At 50.9% G+C, this 19,551-nt stretch overlaps 1 protein-coding gene and 1 non-coding gene across 17 annotated transcripts in view, besides 2 other annotated features; both read right to left on the reverse strand.

The window, feature by feature from the left end:
* The window catches only part of ERI3 (ERI1 exoribonuclease family member 3), a 134,210-nt gene that overhangs the window by 25,059 nt on the left and 89,600 nt on the right, over positions 1-19,551 (reverse strand). For 12 of the 16 annotated variants that reach the window (XM_017002305.2, XM_047430144.1, NM_001301699.1 and 9 more), the window contains one exon: positions 1,811-1,910. The exons of the other annotated variants lie outside the window; for them this stretch is intronic. In XM_017002305.2, the coding sequence (XP_016857794.1) occupies positions 1,811-1,910 (100 nt within the window). The remainder of the gene's footprint in view (positions 1-1,810; positions 1,911-19,551) is intronic. 16 annotated transcript variants of the gene reach the window in all.
* Positions 2,907-3,518: an enhancer, noted in NCBI's record as "H3K4me1 hESC enhancer chr1:44714707-44715318 (GRCh37/hg19 assembly coordinates)". NCBI's record gives its function as "activates a minimal SCP1, AML or CMV promoter by ChIP-STARR-seq in primed H9 embryonic stem cells {active_cell/tissue: H9 hESC(primed)}" and the evidence as "EXISTENCE:reporter gene assay evidence [ECO:0000049][PMID:30033119]".
* Positions 3,620-4,329: an enhancer, noted in NCBI's record as "VISTA enhancer hs277". NCBI's record gives its function as "enhancer in: midbrain (mesencephalon)[3/4]" and the evidence as "EXISTENCE:transgenic organism evidence [ECO:0001131][PMID:17130149]".
* Positions 6,216-6,431, reverse strand: SNORA110 (small nucleolar RNA, H/ACA box 110). Its single transcript, NR_132966.1, has one exon. It is a non-coding gene; the product is annotated as a small nucleolar RNA, H/ACA box 110 (small nucleolar RNA).

The following is a 19,551-nucleotide window of genomic DNA, read 5'->3' on the forward strand; positions in this document are numbered from 1 at the left end:
CATTCAAGGCCTGCTTATATCTCTGTTTATTTTCTAGCTGCTTCCTAACCCAAATTTGCCACTCTAGTCATGGGAAGCTTCTTGTAGGTGTCTGAACTTGTCCTCAACACACTGGGTTTCTCATGCCCACAGGCCTTTCTACTGAGTCCTCCTATCTAAAATACCCTTCCCCCATTTTTCTGCCCAGCAAACTCCTATTCATCTTTCAAAGATCCCAATTCAAGTGTCCTCTTCTCTAGGAAACTTCCTGCTGACCTCCCAGGCATATTACACTGCTGGGTTTGGCGTCTTCTCTAGATTGTTTGGAAAACATCTGTGAAACATCTATGCGAGGGAACAGCAGTTATGGTGGAGCACCCCCACTTCCCCAGGCCTGTTGGTCACTTCCTCTTAGCCTGAGCCCTGGGAAACCCTTCAGATGTCCCAACAAGAATATGGGGGCATCCCTCCTGGGGTGAGATGCCCCCATATCACTACCTCTTAGTGAGAGGTAACTGAAAAAGTAGAAGCTACTTGGCAACTGAGGAGAGGGAAAACCACCTTTGGGGCAACCCAGGTGTTTTCTGTCACAGCCCTTAGTACCCTGGGTGGCAAGCACCTATTTCAGTCCCTGTCTCTTCCCAGGATGTGAGCTCACTGAGAACAGAAACTTCTACTTAGCATGCCCAGCATCCACAAGGTACCAGTGAATGTCTGGAATGGATAAAGGATCTACTCTGAAGGAGGTGACTGGGTCCTTTGGTCCTGGTATTCTCTCTCCAGTCCCCCCCCACAATGATGCGACCCCAAAGGCTCACAGGTTGTGGTAATGTCAGCACACTGCCCAGAGATACTCTGGCTCCTCCCCACTTGGAACAAGGCCTATGCTTGGTCAGGTGCCTCACCTGAGAGCATCTGCATGCACACATGTGCATATGCAAACAAAATAAGATATACAGAACTGAACAGACACACCTGACAGATACACACACAGATTGGTAGCTGCTTCCACACAGACTCATGCCCTCAGAAAAATACAGATATACTGTTACACGCTCCCCAACAGACATGTATAATCATGGATACATTATACTCTGAGTCTGACACAGAGACATACAGCTAAAGGTGTCACACATATGCAGACACACAGATACAGACAGATAACATATTCATACTGATAGATCAGAAACTAACAAAACCTCCAACTGCCTGGAATCATAGCCACTCCAGTTTCCTTCCAAACAAGAATCCCCTTGAGGGTATACCCCCATTTGGTACCCCAAGTGGACCCCCTCAACCCAGGCACCGCTCAATGGAGGCTGCTGCTCCTGCGGGGGAGTCAATACCCTGTGGACGGAGTCATCGGTCAGAAGGACCCCGACTAATTAAAAGCTGGTGAGGTTTAAATAATTCATCTCCTTAACTCCCATTGATCGTCCAGTTTAGTGGCCACAGACTTCAAACAATATTAAACAGCCTCCTCCAGCTCCATGGGGGGTGGGTAAGCTGACATGTCCCCACCCACTGAGGACATTGCCCACTAGAGATGCAGCCAGTGAAGGAGGACCTTGGCCTGAGTCCAAGGCCATCTGTGACTCACCCAAAGCCCAGACCCCAGCCTCCTCCAAAATACCACTTTGAGTGGTGCCTTCCAGTGGTCCCATTCAGTAATTTTCTCATGCCACCCCCCTTCCACCATCCCCCCACCTATGTAGAGAGCCCTGTTGGGGCACTGAATGAGCCATGGAAACTCTCTATGTGCCTGGGGACTGGGGCACGCGGGCAAGGGACGATGGATGGAGCTGCCGGGGGAATATGCGAAGGGACTGACCAATGCCGCTGTGGGGCCGGCCTATGTGTTGCAGGCTGAGGCCCTTGTTCATGTCTAGAAGTCCATTCTTGGGCCAGCAGCCCATGGCGAAGCTGTAAGCCTGGAAGACAGGAGGCAAGTGGTTAACGGAGGCCCTGACCCTCTGAACCAACCCCACTCACAAGGTCTTCCCCCCACCCCCCAAATCTTTCCAACAAGGAATCCCTCTCATAATGCCATCTCGTGAGAGTCCCTTCTCCACCCAGGTCCTCCCCAGACCCAGCAGAAACTCCCTTCCTTCTCCAGAGTGCCTTTTCTCCTGGGCTTCTCCCCATCTGAGTCCCTGGCCCTCAATGGGTGCCCCTCACCAGGACTCCTCTCTAAGGAGTTCCCGTTCACTAGGCTCCTCCTTCTCAGGAGCCCTCCTCTCACAAGGGCATACCTGCACCTTGCACCCCTCCTTAGGATCTCCCCTTTCCGGAGCCCCCAGCACTTTGCTGGGCCTCCTCCTCACAGTATTACTGTTCACAAAGACTAGCTTCAGGCAGGACCTTGGAAACCAGTGCATCCAAACTGCACTCCACAGACAGAAATGTTGAAGTGAGAGCTGGCCAGCAAGGTGCCATGGTCAAGGTGCTTTTGACCACAAGCAGGCCAGGCTATGAAAGGATCTGGGAGCTTTGTGGTGGCTCAACTGAGGAGAGGAGTAAGGTCACTTGGTCAACTCAAGCAGCTGGGAGGGGTGTACATGGGGCGTGTGTGTGTATGTATGTGTGTGAGAGAGAGTGTGTGTGTGTGTGTGTGTGTGTGGTAGGGGGAGCAGATGCTCTGCTGAAGGTCAAGTGCTCACTTATGCATATTCAAAGCGGCCACCCATCGATCTGTACTTAATTGTTTTCCTGGGGTTGGGGAAGGAAGTGCTGGGGGCATCGATCTGCTCAGGCCCCAGCACTCCATTGCCCCCCCTCCATCCCCTTCCCTCACCACCTGGCTGCCAGCAACCTCCACCTGGGGGGGGGACACACGGCAGCTCAGGGGCAGCGCCTTCCCTTACAGTCCCTTTTAGCCATGACTGACCTGATGCCACAGATGAGGAAACTGAGGCCCAGAAAGAAGAGACTTAACATAGGTTAGATCACTATGAAGTAGCCAAATAGGATTGAATTCCTGCTCAGCCTGTTAACCAAATCCTGGGCTTCTCCGGGTAGGCCTGGTAGCTAGTCGGGCCTTCAAACATTACCCATCCCCTCACTTTAGAAGTCCCCAAACACCAGGCTGCCCTTCTACCAGTGGCAGGACAGCGTACAGGGCAGTGGTCAGAATGAAGCTTGGGTGAGTTTCCAGAAGTTGGATAGGTGGTCCAGTGATGGAACCAAAGTGACTGCCAGCTGTGAGTAGATGAGCACCGCAGTGGTCCAGCCCTTTGCTAGTCCCAGGAGGTCTCCATCCCACTAACACACAGGGGAGAGGGCCCAGCACAGGGTCAGAAACACAAAATGGGAGGCTGCACACAGTGTCTGTGCCAGGGCCCAGGGCCCAGATTCTGTGTCCACCCTTCCTTTCCAGCTGCAGGAACCAACACTCCAGCCCCATGGGTACTAGGAGGCTAGGAGAAAGTGTACTTAAACCTTAGCACCCTCTAAAGCCATTCTCCTTGACCGCAGAGGTACCAGCCACAGCCCAACTTCCCAGCCAGCCTTCCCCCACCCTTTCCCAGGCCACAGCTGAACCCACAAATCAGGGGCTGAGTGTGAGGCTCAAGGACAGGGGAGAAGATGCTGGCCCAGAGCCAGGGCAGAGCTGGGATGGAGGCAGTGAGGGAAGCAGCCAGTGGGTGGTGCATAGCCAGAGGAGCCGCTGAGCCTGGTCAGGGCTGAGGCTGGAGCGCAGTGGGCCAGAGAGCAGTGGCGGCTGCCTTTCAAGTACTTTAAAATCACTTACAAAGGCCGGATTAAACGATCAGAAATTCCATTTAATAGGACAAATAAAGAAATAACAATCTACTCTATCAGCCTGGAGAAGACGAGCTGGATGGGTTTTTTTCCCCTCTAAAAAGGAAAAAGGGAAGGAAGGGGGAAAAAAGAAGGATAATGTGTGTTTACTCAAGCAAAGAAAAAAATATTTAAGTGATGTCGGGGAGAAGATTGCAGTAACTAGTGAAGAATAACATCGTCTACTTTGCTGTCAAATCACACCCGAATTTCAGTAATAGATTCTCGGCTGACACTCAATTCAATTCGAAGGTGATCCTGCTTTATCCCAGCCCATCAAATATTAAACACTTGCATTAGCAGGTGCTGCCGCTTCCCAGCTTAAAGCGACGGGCGGGCGGCAGGGCTGCCGAGGCCCCTCCGCTCTGCTTATGGCTCGGGGACAGGGCAGCTCAACGTTATCTGCACGTCATCCTGAGTCTTATCGCAGCTAAGCGGGAAGACCACTTCAGATAACATTAGATGCTTGCCCCACCGCGTCACCGTGATTAGATTATTATTGTAATTATGACTCCCCAAGATCTTCCACAGACTGGGACGTGTGAAAGGGGGACGGAGGACAGCAGAGCCCCAGGAGGGCCAGGCTGGACCAGGGAAAGCTGGGCCCTTGGCAGGAAAGCGAAGGTGCCAGGAAAGGAGGCAACCCGGTCCCGCCTGACAGATGCCTTTCAGGAAGGGCAGTCTGGCTTGTCAGAGCGAGGGCGAGATGAATTGGCGTCTCCACTGCGGCCGTGGGTGTCATGCCGCACAGTTTCATATTCCCAGATAAGGCGTGATAACCAATTGCTGCTGTGACATGGCCTCATCCAGCACTTCCTCAGGGGGGGCATGGGGCGGGAGAGGGGGTGGCGCATGCACATGGGTCTGCCAAGCTCCTAATAAGAGGGATTTAATTTTTACAAATGCTGCTTCCAGCGGGACCTTCACATACCAGCCAAAGTCCAAAATGATATTAAAAACGGTTAATTAAAACTGCTCTCCCTCAGCCTGGGCTCTCCCGCTGTTGGCCCTGCTGAGAGCCCTGGCACGTCTTCCCCAGGTACTGACACATGCACCTGCAGAGCCTAACCTTCAGATGTGACCACCAGCCTCACGGGGCCACCCTAAGCATAGTACCAGGGCCCAGCACCTCATGCTCCCCCCAGCTCCTGCCATCTTGGGTACTGCTTAGGCACAGCCAACAGACGCAGATAGCTGCCCACAAAACATAGGTGGTCCCACAGCAACCTGTGCTCCTGCCAACATATGGTCTGCCAACATATGGTCTGGATCCTCACACCTGCTACCCCGCTGCACCTGTAGTCATCTGTGCCCACCACTCACTTTTAAAGCCCATGCCTCTCCCCACAAGATATGCAGGCCATGGAGTGGCCCAAGCGCATATATGCTGGCATGCCACAAATGCATCGGACTTGCCCTCAGGTGACTGCCACACTTCCATTACTTGCTCCCTCCATTCGCCCTCCTTAAGAGATTGGATCTGTCTACAAATCTCAGCAGAGACCTTCCTGGGAGTCCTGATCAGGGTGAGGTGTCATGGGCTATGTCTCAGAGATTCCGGCTGAGGAGCCACGGCTGGCACTCAGAGACCCATCAGAGCAGGAGGATCAGCAAGGCTGAGCCCTTTGGATTGCCTACAGGGGACAATGAAGACAAGCAGACCCTGGTGAGATTGGAGGAGGCTAGGAAAGCTTCCTGGAGGGAGTGGTACTGGCAGGCTGGGACGGTTTGACAGGTGGCAGGGGAGTACAACATTCCAGACAGAAGGCACAGCAAAGACAAAGGAAAGTGGCATGAGCAAGCACAATAAAGGCTTGGGTGTGGCTGGGACAGCCAAATTAGAGAGGGGAGCCACATCTGAAGGCACTGTCTCTCAACTCTGTGTACCTGGCAGCAACATGGCATCAAGGGGCCTTGTGTCTATCTCTTTACTCCTGCCTGCTCCCTCTCACTGCTCCCTTCCCTCTCCTGCCAGCTTGGGGGAATGGGGATATGGGGCCCAGAAGCTTTCTGATCTTGATCAGTGTGGGGCAGGAATCTGCTTTAAGAGCTCTCTCCAAGAGCTTGTGCCCGAGCCTGTTTCCCAAAGCTGCTTCCAAATCCTCTGGGTGCCACTTCTTTGGCTGCATCTCTCTCAGCCATCAGGGTCCACCTGCCCAGCTATGCACAGTCAGCACCTAGCCCCTGGGGTTCCCAGACAGAGGGTGGGGCAGGTAGGAAGATGACTGAGGTGCTCCTGAGTCCTGTCCAGGGCAGGTACTGATGCGAGCCACAGGGACAGGTGGAGCTGGCTGAGGTGAAAGATGCTGGGCCTACCAAGCCAAACCACCTCAGCCCTGTGCCAGGCAGGCACGCACACACGCTTCCCTTCCCCTGGGCTGCTGCAATTTCCATGCACAGGGAAGCAGGTGCCGAGCTGCTCCCGGCTGGCTCTCCCCTCTCGTGGCTCTGCCCGCCTTGGCTGCTGCCCCATTAGCTTAGTGGCCAGCCATCTGCGACGGGCCTGCCGCATAGCCCTGCTGTAGGTGCGGCGGGTGGCCCCCTGTGTAACAGGGAGCTTTGCCATTAGCGCCTTTAATATTCTGACACCTCAGCGCAGCCTGCTATTACATGCAAACACTGATCGCCCTGTGAAATTACATTGCTGGGCCCGCGAAATGGAATCGTGTATAATCAGCCTCCTCCATGCACTGTCAGTCCCATCACAAACACGGCGCCCGGCGGCTTATGGGGGCTTAGCAGCTGCGACAAGTGTATTGGGTTTAATAGATGAAGTAGCCCTCATCGGCTGCAGCATCAGATCCTTCAAAGAGGAAAGAGGCCTCAGCAGCTGCTATGGTATCTCTGCCCACCCATATACTACCTACCAGGACCCTCAGAGTGGAGTGGACGCACAGTGGGAAGGGCTGTGGTTGGGCTAAATGGCTAGAACCCAGCTCAGGCTGCAGACAGAATAGGCTGCTCTGCAACTTTCAGAAAAACCAGAGTTTTGAAGCCTGTGCTAGCACATTCAGCCTATCCATCCCACCTAGAGGTGAGGAGGAGCAGGCCTTTAACCATACCTCTGGATGACTTGTCACCCTGCAGGTGATTGCTCAAGACTAGGAGCCAAATCAAACCAACTGCCATTCCCCTAACCCCCAACAGAGATGAAGCTGTGATGGTGATACTCCAGAGGATAGGGAAGAGAAAGTCTGGCAGACACAAATACTACCTAACTCTCTATCCTGACCAACACTTCCACAGCTGGTGAGCCAAATACCTAAGGGCACAGGTAAACACTAGGCTGGAGTATGCCACATATACTTATGGCACACCCAGCAGCCCATGCCTCATAGAAAGGCTCAGTTCTGCCAGCTATTAGCACTATAACTTTGGATGAGTTATTAAACCTCTCTGAGCCTCAGTTTCTTGTACTGCGAGATGGGATGACAGTACTTTCCTCCAGGTATATCTGAGATCACCCAGGACTACTCACTCCCACTGCTACCTCCAGATATTCTTGGTGCCATTGCTCAAAATGCACCTTGCCTTTGAGAATACAGTTCCCTCTCCCTTTCCCAGGGAACCCTTTTCCAGGTTCAGCCTAATACCAGTTGTGGCAGAGTGTATTTTCCTGTGATGGGTTGCAACACTATCTCCCATCTCACATGTTCTTCTTTCACTGTGACTCTGACATACCTACCATCAAGACTAAGTCTCTGTCACCATCCCTGCCCTTCAACACTACTGCAAAAATGCTTAGGCAGCTTCCACCTCAATCACTGGAAAGTTTCCCTGCAGTCCGGGGCTGCTGTGTTAAGTAGTGAGACTGCCTGAAGGTAGCCATGCCATGAGGAAGCCCAAACTAACCCATGCAGAGAGAACACAGATAGAAGCCATGAGACTCGGTGAAGAAAGAGAGAGGCCCAGCCAGCCCGCAACTGCTCTGACCATTGTGCCAGCTCCAGCCACTGCCTGACTATATAACCACACAAGAGATCCTGAGCCAGAACCACATTACCTATCCCCTCCTGAATTCCTCAGTCACAGAAACCATGAGGGATAATACAATATTTGTTGTTATTTTAAGTCACTAAGTGTCAGGGTGATCAGTTATGCAGCAACACTAACTGGCAAGCCAATACCTAACTCACTCCTGGATATACTCTGCAGATGTCTTCAAATTCTTTCCTGCTGCTTCTAGACTATTCTTCCTCTCCCTCTGGGACTTCATTCCAAATCATCATCACTCTGGGTAACTTCAGTATCTACAAGATAACCCAGCCATGGACGTTGCCTCTCAATTTCTTGACTCCCTGTGCTCTAATGAGCTTCTCCTCTACCTATTTCAGTCATCTTTCCCCAGAGCCACCCCCTGAGCCTTGTTATCACCCAGAACTGCCCTCTCTCTGAAATCTCACAAGGACGAATTCCACTCTGGCCCCAGCCTCCTAACCTTCTAGCTTTTGTTTGCTTTCTCCCTCTGCTCTTGCTTCCTCCCAGCCCCCGCCTACCCCTAGTCTGTCTATCCCCTTTTCGGGCTTCAGTACTTTTCTACTAAGCCTGAACCCTTGAATCTATCACTTCAACCACCCATCCCCCAATTTTTAACACCCTGCCTACTTGTCCTAGAGCACACCTTTTCTGGAAAACCCCAACCATGACTCCATTTCTCCACACTTGCTCTTGAGCTCAACAATGCCAGAAAAAGTCATTCTTATATACAGAAAGTGGTTACTACAGATCCAAGACCACAGCCTTAGCAACCCTCAATGGTACTCACCAACCCTAATGCCTTCCTACTTCCAGAAAGATAATAAAGCCACTAGGCAGAGCTCTTTCTGCATGCCCCTTATCTACAAATGCATCTGCATCCTTCCCCACCTGCTCCTTCACCTCCCCTGTTCTAACAGGGGAGACACTACGCTTCTTGTCTAAGGCCAACACCGTACTTGTGCTTTACAGGCCATCCTTTCCCCACCTCCTCAGGCCCTTGCTCCATCTAGTATTTCTTGTCTTTCTAAATCCTTAACCTCCTCTTCTCTGCTGGCTTCTTCATTAACATTCAAGCATATGCTTAGATTTCTATCACTTTCACATAACTTCTCTGTGTCTTGGTTTCCTCTTTGTAAAATGGGGGTTATAATAGTTTCTACCCCATAGAATTGATGTGAGGATTAAATGAGGATTACTGTCTGTAAAGTGCTTAAAACACTGCCTGGCTCTCTGAAACCTATGTTAAGTTTTAGATTATTTTTAAAGTTCTATATGCATTTCACATCCTATCCAGCTACTGCTGTTCTCCTGTTAACGACCAACTTCTCAAGACTGCCTCCACTCCCTTCCTCCTTCACTCCTTCACTCCCTGCAGTCTGGTCAAGCTGCCGCCATGCTGCCCCACATCTGTGGACAGTTTCAGATTCTTACCTGCCTTCGCCATTTTGCAGCCTGCTCCATCTCTGAAACCCTTCTCCCTTCTTGACACTCTACTCAGTTTTCCTAGCTCTCTGCCATTTTCCCCACAATCTCCTGTATAGTCTCCTCTGCATTTGGTCATCGTATCTGTGTACTCACCCACTCTGCACTCTCTCTTCCTATTTTTTTCTACATGCTACCACTCTCCTTGGGTTCCTTGGGTGATTTCCTCAAGTCCATTGTCTTCAACCTTTCTAATTTCCAAATCTGTATTTCTTACCCCTACTTGAGTGTCAGACATATATATTCTATTGCCTACCTCGAATCACCCCCTGGATTTCACACAGACGCTTCATTCTCCATATGTTTAAAGCTCATTTCAACATCTCCTCTTCAAACTGCTTCTTCTCCTGGGCTCCCAAATTGCAGTGAAAGCTATTACCATCTACCTGGTCTACCAGGCCAGAAATGTGGGAGTCAATCTTGATTCCTTCCTCTTCCTTACTGCCCACCAAGTCCTGGGATTGCTGTTTCATGCCTTCAAGCCTTTGATGAAGCAGTTCCTTCAGCCTGCCTAGAACGCCCTCTGCCTTCTCCCACATTTTGTCCTAATTTGAACACACACTCCTCTTTCAACATTCAATTCAAAAAGTACCTTCCTTTATAGTCTTTCCTGGCTCATCCCTCCTTTAAATCCCCCATACTGTGAATGGCACCTGTAACATGGATTTTGTCTCCCATTATGCTGAGAGGTTCCTGAGGGGGTTGGGGGGTTGTATTTGCTGTCTCTGAGTGGTCTCCACTGAGAAAAGGAGAAGCGAGAGGAGAAGGGGAGAGGAAGAAAAGACACCTCTTTGGGTATAATTCTACCAAGCCTGGAGGCCTGGTTTCCGGAGCTGCTACTCCTGCCAATCCTACCCAGTCTCCTTCAGGAACCATAGCTGTTCTTGCCCAGCAGAACAGCAACAGCCCACCCCACAGCCATTCTTGGAACTGGGGGCTCAGTTGCCTGTTTTAAGGAAGAGGGAACTGTTGCTGTCTCCTCCTTTTCTGTACTCTCAGCCTATGTATATCCCCCAACCCATTCCTCGGGTCCAGCAGAGGCTTGACCCGCACAGCTAAAGCAGCAAAGGGATGGACACTTGCATCAGGTGACACAAGCCCATCCTCCCTAACCCCAGATGGCAGTTCTGTTGTGTGTACAGTGTTCTCCGGCTACCAACATACTTCAGGGGCCCCAGAGCTGCTGCTGCCTCTCTTCATCAACGGAACCTGAGTGGGATAATTATCGTCTCTGTGTACTTAACCTTACTGCTCACTGCCTCCAACATGATGGCTGCCTCTAGTGCACTGGGCCACCACTACAGCAAAGGCAGGGGCTATGCCACAGGTCTAAGTCCCACAGCATTTGGTACTGGGGGTCCCAGGAGTGGAAGACAGCTACCAGCTCAGTTTGATCCCAAGTATTATGGTCCCGAGTATTTTCAGGTGGAGTTTTCTCTTTCTTGCTCTCAGATTTCTTGGCTTCACCGCTGAGTCAGAGGGGCCTTGGGGACAGTGAAGTTTCTGGGTTGAGAATAAGATAAGTAGCTCCTGAGCCATGCTGCCTCAGTCCCTGCAGAAGAGGGTGGCCTGTCTGGGGCTCCACGTGCACTGTCACAGAGTCTAAGGCAGCAGGTCAGTCTGAGCCAGCTGCCCAGGGTGAGAGCTACATTGTGAGTTTTCTTTGTTTTCATTACAATTTCCTCTCCCACCGCTTCTTTTTAGCCAGCCCTTTCCTCCCCGGGGTGCTGGGGATTGAATGAAACACCACCCCCGGCTCCAATAAGTGTATTTCAATTACATCTGTCACTGCATAACGATATAATGATATATCATGTGATATTAAATCCATGGTAATCATATCAGGGATTTTTTTTAATCGTGCACTAATCGCATTATTACATCTCTATAATTAACAACAGGAGGTATGGAAATTCAGTTAAGGCAGTTGGCTCAATGTACTCCCCCCAACCCACCCCCATCCTAGCTCCCCCAGATCAGGACCCGATCAGGAGACAGGGACTGCAGGGCACTTGCCAGCTGGGCCAAAGCCCCACTCCCAGTGCCTCAGTCATGGGCAGAGCTTTCCACATCCAGGGCTGGCAGAGACAGTCCAGGGTGCTGGTCCATCTTGTGGTTCCTCAGGAAAGAAGCCTGGGGGCAGAAGCCAAACAGAGAGGCCCAACTACAGGGCTTAGCTGGGGCCTTCCAGACTTCCCACCACTGCTGCACCAAATCATCTCCATGGGGAGGGATGTCACCTTTTCTTTCAGCAAGGCCCTCAAAGGTGCTTGTAAGGCACAGGGGTGAGTTTCTCCCTCATGGCCTCCTGCGCCAGAATTCCCTCTGCTACTGCTACACATACACCCTCCCTCTAACCCAGCCCTCTGACAGCTCCTAACAGCACCAGGTCCAGCAGCTGTGATGTCTCTGCCTCTTGGTCCTATCATCCCTGGTGATAGCTGACCAAACCCAACTCCCTGGGGCCATTCCTCCCCAATCCTCTCGCAGAAGCTGGCCCTTCATATCATATAACAAGTGAGTTTTGATAACCACTGGGATGTTCCTCCATTTCCCCAAAACAGTCTAAGTTCTTATGTTCTCCCACCCAGGCCTAGATGGAGAGAGGAGGGGCTAGGGACTGCAGCTTGAACTATGTCAAATGACCCTGTCTCTCCCACCCCCCTTCCTGATACTGAGCTGTTAGGGCTAATCCCCTCAGGGGTGTCAGAACCAGTCTGCAAAGCAGAATTCTGTGTTTCAAGCCCAAAGCTTTGAACCTGGCATGTAACTAGTCCTCAGTAAGGGGCAGGCATTTTGCTAAGTTTGACTCTCAGAAGTTGGACAGGCCTGAAGATAAAAGAGAAAAATCATGTCCTTTTTCCTAATAAAAAGGAGACACTAATAGCAGTCAGCACTTAGGCAAAGCACTTTAAGTTTCTAAAGTGCTTTCCAAATTAAAATATAATCCTTTATTGAGCATGCGGCACTACCGCCACCACCACCCACCCAGCCACCCCTCACATACAAAGGTATATGCATGCTTGCACACAGCATACACGCCTTCACTTTCTTTCCCCCTGGGAAAAAGAAGAAGGGTGTTCAAAACATTCATCCCAGATCCCCCTCCCTCTTCATTAGATTGTTCATGTAACACCCATTTATTGAGGAACTACCATGTGCCAAGCCCTGTGCTGGGTGCTAGAGATACACAGGTCAAGCAGACCAAGCCACTGCCCTCAAGGAGCTCCCAGGCTAGAAGGAGAGACATGTAAACATATTTGCAAAACAACACTGAAGGAAATCAGCAAGAAGGACCCACACGGCCTTCAGTGGGCCATAGGTGGGGCACCCAGGGAAGGTGTAGGCTAGGAGCTCAGACCAGTGGTCTGAGCTGAGACAGAATCCTAAGAAGCAGATGAGTGGTACAAGAAACTAAGAGTAGATAAGATCACCCAGGAAGAAAGTAAAAACCTTTAGAATCAGATGAAGCCCTTCTCTTCTCTGATGTTTGGAGGGAAAAAAAGGATGAGAAGGTTGAAATTCCAGCCTCCAGAGCTAAGGCCCAAAGAACCTTCTCTTTGGGGTGCACCCAACATCCTGGCTCCTGTATCTTCCTTGGTCAAATCAGTCTTCACTCTACTGTAATATGATGGAGAGTGCACGCTTTGGAATCACACTGACTCATTCACAACAAACATTTACTGAGAGCCTATTACATGCCAGGCTATATGCACATATATAGCAACAGAGCACAACACTGTCCTCAGAGAGCTTCCACAGCTTTCTCCAAGAGACTTAAGCTCAAAGGAACTGTAATAAAGGTTCCAACAAGACACATAAGCTTTTATAATAGGAGAGAAAAGGGGAGTCTGACTTAGGTGGGGAATGCTTCCCTGAGAACAGGTAAGTAGAAGCTGGCTGGCTGCCTGGCTGCCTGGCTGACTGATTGGAGGTGGGGTGGGGGAAGGGCAGAGGTGGGGTGACTGGGGGCATGCTAAGGCCTGGAAGGAATCAAATCAACGCCAGAGTCCCTGAGCACAGAAAATCAAGCATGAAATGTGGCTGATGAGGAAGGCAGGAGATGCAGCCCATGCAGGACCTCAAAGGACACGGTAAGGGCTTTGTACTGTTTCCTAAGGCCATTCAGGGGCCCTCCACTACCACGCTATGTGATCTTGGGGTGCTCTACCAATATGAAAAGGTAGTTCCAGCCAGGCACAGTGGCTCATGCCTATAATCCCAGCACTGTGGGAGGCTGAGTGGGGAGGACTAATTGAACCCAGGAGTTCGAGACCAGCCTAGGCAACGTGGCAAAATCCTATCTCTACAAAACACACAGACACACACACACACACACACACACACACACACACAAATTAGCCAGGCATGGTGACGTGCACCTGTGATCCTAGTTACTAGGGAGGCTAAGGTGAGTGGGAGAATCCCTTAAGCCCAGGGGGTTGAGGCTGCAGTGAGCTGTATTTGTGCCACTGAACTCCAGCCTGAGTGACAGAGGAAAACCCTCTAGATAGATAGATAGATAGATAGATAGATAGATAGATAGATAGATAGACAGACAGACAGACAGACAGACAGACAGTAGTTCCTTTGCACATCTACCCCTCCTTATTCCTAAGGGTAGCCAGGCCTGGGAAAAACTAATAGAGAACCAAGATAATAGATCCTTCTAGATTTTCCATCTAGAAGGAGAGGAAGAAAGTACACAAGCATTCATTCACTGAATATTCACACATTCACTGAAGGCCTGCCAGAACCCAGCAACTCAAACAGAATCACATGTAGACCTGCGCTCAAAGAACTCATAGTCCTTTGACGGGAAACAGACACAGAAACCAGTAATGGCCCATAACTGTGATACAGTGAGTGGAGAGACCCACAGTAGGGATTGAGAGGAGGGAAGTTCTCAGGACCAGTGGCCTCTGGAGCCCAGAATGGTGTGTGTTGCTTCTGATCCTGCCTCACTGCACAGGCAGCAATTGGTTGGCTGGGACAGCATGACCCACACAGACTGCGGATTGAGCAGGGGCAGGAGTGTGAGGAGGACCCTAAAGCCAAGCCTCCTGGGAAGGGGCTGGAGACCAAGTAGCAGTGAACCTAAGCCTGGACCTTCTGGTTACAAAGATGAAGGTTGAAAGGACGTGATCAGAGCCACAGAGGAGAGGAGAGAGGCCCATTGTATAGTCTCTGGATGGCTAGAAGGGAGTACCTTTAGAAATAACAACAGGGCTTGGATAAAAAAGAATTTCAGAAATGGAAACTCTAGCCCCTGGGTCTCAGTTTCTTCACTGAAAAATGAGGGACTTTACTGGATTTCTTAGGTCTCTTCTTGATCTGAAATTCATCAGATCTGAGGTACTTCATTCAACTCCCCCACCCCCACCCCAAGAGTCAGGCTTATTTCTGCCCCACATGTTTGCTTATACTATATTTCCCCACCTGGAACGCTCAACTTCCCTTCTCCAAATCCTGTCTGCTAGGACACTACCTTCAGGAAGCCCTTCATGATTTCTCTTTCCCACTCCTCCATGCCCCACCCTGACCTCCACACCCATTTCTCTCAACAGCACTTTGCTTAACCACGTATTTACATAGGGTCTGGTATTCTTACCTGATTGGTCTAGGGATTGTTTTTTATCACTCCCTGACCCCTGACATCCATTTCTTACAGGTCCTAGAAGCAGGCAGGTGCTGTTCTAGCCTGAAGTCTAGGTCCCCACTCCCTCTGCCCACAGTCCTTTGAGAACTCGACAGGCCTCGACTTGAAAAGGGTGCTAAAAGCAATGATGTCTCCAAGTGTGATGGGAGATATTTGTGTCTGCTTTACCCTTGGCTTTTTGCTCCGGTTCAGGTAGGAGCGGGGTGGGCCGGCTGGCAGATCTGAGAGCGTGGCACGCCCCAGCGGGCAGGGCGCACAGCGCGGAGGAAGGCGCGAGTCAGTCTGGAGTGCTCCCCATTTATCAAGCTCACGCAGGCCGCCAGCCGAGCGAGTCTTTCTATCATTACACCTCTCAAAATCCGATTCATACCACTAATCCTGCCTTCATTCTCCCAGATTAATAACATCTCTTTCAACCTTCACAGTGTGATAAATAGACAAAGAGAGAACAAAAGGAGAGACAGAAGAGAGAGAAAGAGCTGGAGCAAGTCCCCATAATAGAGAGAGCTGAGAAAGAGGAGAGGGAAAAAAGGAGAGCGAACGAGAGCAGGCAGCGGCCAGAGACTGCAGCTACCTTAGAGAGCCGCTCTGAGGAGAGCTGGCGGCTGCGCCCCGCTATGCGCTCCGCTCCGTCCCCAAAGAGAAAGAAAGGCTCGTTAACAGCTCCTTCCTGCCTGCACTTTTGTTCAAATTCTTTTCTTCCCTTCCAATCCTGCTTTAGGTCAAATTCCAGTGAAAATGAGTCTCCTGGCTTTCCCATCTACTCCCAGCTTCCCAACCAGGCCCAGGAACCCACCTGGCCCTTGGCAGAAGGGCTGGGTATGGGTACAAGACAGGGCTGGGAATGGGTGTGGCAAAAGCATGCCTAAAGCTTTCCCAGAGCTGTTCTCCTAACCTAAAACCTCACCCTTTTCCTGCTCTTTCAGCAGAACAGGAAGGGAACAGAGTAGAGGGAGGATCTGCTTGGGGTCGTTCCCGAAGGCTCTGTCCTCACATCTTTCCAACCTTAGGCTCCAGACAGTGCAATCCAAGGCCCTCCACCCACCGCAGCCCAGCCAGATGGTGAAAGTAGGTGTCCCTCAGGCTCGCTAAAGCAGAAGTTGGTCCATGTCTCCATATTATAATGGAGAAGTGTGACAAGGACAATAACCCCCACTGGGCCCAGCCCCACCCTAACCAACTGATCTCTGACACTTGTCCTCTCTGCCCCATGCTAGCCTACACTTGTCTCCACAGCACAGTCCCCATCCTTCACAGAGGCCCAGTTCAAGGCCCCCTTCTGGATGCCCATCTGAGCTCTCGCAGGAGAATTCAATTACTCCCTCTCTGGAAATCCAGCAGTTCCATTAACCTTCCTTCTCCGGGCTCTGGAAGGCAACACCATTTATATTACCCTGTAGAGATGGTGTGCTTCTCTCACTCCCCTGGGAATCTGTCTTCTGAGTTCTCTATCTCCAAGTCGAAGCTGCCCATGGCACAGCACTTCCATCTGGGCACCCACGCCCTCACAATCTAGCAGAGTGGGGGAGGTGGGGCTACACCAGGCTGCCAAGACTACCCTATCCCTTAGCACGCTTGTGGCAGGCGCAGGGTCAGTGGGGATGGCACAGGCAGAGGGAAGATCTGCCCTGCCCAATCCAGCCTAGCGGGAGGAGCCTTCTAGAAGTGTCAAGGCTTCTCTGAGGACAATGCCTTGTGAGGTACAGGAAAGACCTAAGCGGACCTTCAGCAGAAAGCTGGTGGCCTGGTGGTCTATTTAGAGCAGGTCCCATCTAGGGAACATCTTACTGACACTCTCCAGATTCTTTCCTCCCAAAAGCTTCCCTGCTTCCCTCCCTCTATTTCCTGCCCCAAAACTCAGCCTTTCTCTGGGCCAGAATGGCTGCTGCCTACTCCCACCGTTCACTCCCAGGAACCCCATCACTTCCAGCCACAGCTCTCAAGTTTGCCCAGTCACATTTCCACTTGGGGAAATAACCTGAAAGCAGAAAAAAAGAGGCTTCACAGGGCCAAGTAAAAGAGCAAACCACAAGGGGAAAGGGATGTTGAAATGGGCAGTCCTTGGGATCCCTTTCATTAAAAAATCCAGAAGTTCCATTAACCTTCCCTCAGCTCCTACATCAGAAGGATTCTCACACTTTTTTCTATTTCACTAGCCCTCCAGGATCAGACACTTGGAAAAGGGAGGGGGAAGAATGATAGTAACTGATGTTCATCCATGGGCCCAAGCGACCCAAGGAGGTCAGGGGCTGAAAACGAAAAGCAAGAAGGAGATTGTACAGTCTCAGTGAAGGGGAACTGTCCTCCCTAAAATAAGCCCAGCCAGCTGGTGCCCTGGCTTTCAGGGCAGGCTGGGTCCAACTGGCCACACAGGCCCACACTGCCTCTCAGCCCAAGGTCACAGTAGGGTTCCAGAAACTTGGAATGGATCTCTGGTCCTTCTTCCACTAAGAGCCTGTGTTGTTGGCAGATCAGATAGCCTCAGCCGGAGTCAACTTTGTAGTACCTTAGATACAGACAGGCAGCAGGCCCAGACACCCTCAGCTTTGTTCTAAACAGCTTCCACACTCTCTAAGCAACCAGGTGGCTTCCTGGACAGCTTCCCCGGGGGCTCAGAAAGATGCTCTGGCCCTTGTGGCCCCACTCCTGAGAGGAGTATAGGCTTGGGCTCTGAGAAGAGAAGTCATGGTGTCCTCCCTATTCTATGCTGCTATTGCCAAACCTCACCCAACACACACTCTTGCCCCTCCCCTGGCCTTGCTTCCTCTAACTCTTCTAGCCCTCTCTGAGCCCTGAGCCCTTCCTCCCAAGATAAGCCACCACCCAGGCATTCAAGTCTGAGGAATAAACCTCATCTCCTCAGGAGAGAGACAACCCTAGACCCCAGTAGGGGACATGTCTGGGGATCAGGTAGGAGGAAGTCAGTCAGATACCAAAAGTCAGTCTGTCTCTGGCAGATCAAGAAGCCAGATCCAAGTGATGCTCTTCCCTCACTCCCTGAGTATTCAGTTCTAGAGCTCACTCCCTCCTCTAGACAGCCAGTAGCACAGAGCAGGAAAGGAGAAGTTGGGTCCTAATGTGTAAAAAGCTCCAGCAAAGCGAAATCATTTACTCTTCGGTGCGACTGCTCAGCAGAGCTAATAAATCTTGCATGAGCAGGGCCAATTCTAATTTCCTAATATGAAAAGGCATTTGGATTGAGAGAGAGGGGGAGATAAAAGTGATTGAATCTCCAATAGTCCAGGTTACTGACAAGAAACATCCTGCTTAGCCCTGAGAGAAGGATGGCAGCACCCGCCCACCCGCACACACCCATCCGTTCTGCCCCCCTCTTGGCGTGATACATCTCAGTCTCTTCTATTGACAGGACGTGGCTTTAAACACAGTTACACAAGTTATCATTTCTGCCTTCTGATCAATCTGAATTTTCAGGACAATTACCCTCTTAATCAATGATTGCTATCAGCAGCCCCGCGCCTGGACGGATTTCTCAGCAAGGTAATCATGCCGCCAGGCTGGACGGCGCGTGCATAGGCAATGAAGCTCCGGGTGGGGTCTCCTCCCTCCTTCCTGAGCCCCCATATCCCAGCGCTGCTGCCAGCATCGAGGACAAGGACGGCAAAGTGTGAAGGCCACTTCAAGGAGTGGTGGCAGTACAAGGAAGGGGGGGCAGCCACCAGTCAGCCTTCCAAATCAGCTGATTATGGAACAAACCTATTAAAAGCCTAGATTTACTGCCCACCACGCTGATGCATCTCCACATGCCCTCCTGCCATCATTCCTTCCTCCTAATTAGCCTAATAAAGCCCAATTCTAATTATGGGCTCAAACTATTAGGGTGAGTTAAGTACAAAGAAAAGAGAACTATTGGTTTTACTAATCTCTCAGAAGCTACTGGTTCTAGAAATTCCTTTTCTTCCATGGAGCTGGTTCATATGGGCTACTGACTGGAATGGTAGGGGCAGCCTCTTCTCCTCACATGCCCAGGTATCCAGAGCTATCATAAAGCCAGCCTAGCCTTGAGCCAGGAGGCCACCCAGCCCAACACTCCCTCCCGCAAGCATCCTCTCACAGATCCAGCCCTCCATGCTTAAAACAATTCAGAGGCCCCCAGAAGCGGGAAGGAGAACAAGTGGAGTCAGTGTTGAGTCTGCTCGAGGCCATTATCTGCTACCCTGGGGACAACTCAAGGAAGTTTCTCAGATCACCTGTTGTTGGTGAAGGACTTAACTAGAGAGGCTTGGTCCAGGGCACTGATGAATGAACTTACACTCCCGCACAGGTGGCAGATATGCCTATACAGCTGTACTCACAGCAGAGTAGGCTGGGGCTAAAACAGGTCCCAACAATTTGCTATTACATCAGAAGTGGGGAACCAGAATGAGAAAGCTTGCATGCTTTTATTCACTGACATTTACTGAGTACTATCCACAGACTAAATGGTGGGGGTACAGCAGTCAACAATACAGCAGTGACCCCTATTCTCACGGAGCTCACAATGTACTAGGAAAGACAGACAAGTGTTCTTTTAAAAAGGCAAAAATGACAAAGTGAACTCGCACATGAATGTTCATAACAGCCAAAAAGTAGAAACAACCCAAATATTGATCACCTGATGGGAGAATTAAAAAAAAAAAAGTGGTACTATCTAT

The sequence above is a fragment of the Homo sapiens genome, chromosome 1 (assembly GCF_000001405.40).
Source record: "Homo sapiens chromosome 1, GRCh38.p14 Primary Assembly".
Classification (NCBI taxonomy): Eukaryota; Metazoa; Chordata; class Mammalia; order Primates; family Hominidae; genus Homo; species Homo sapiens.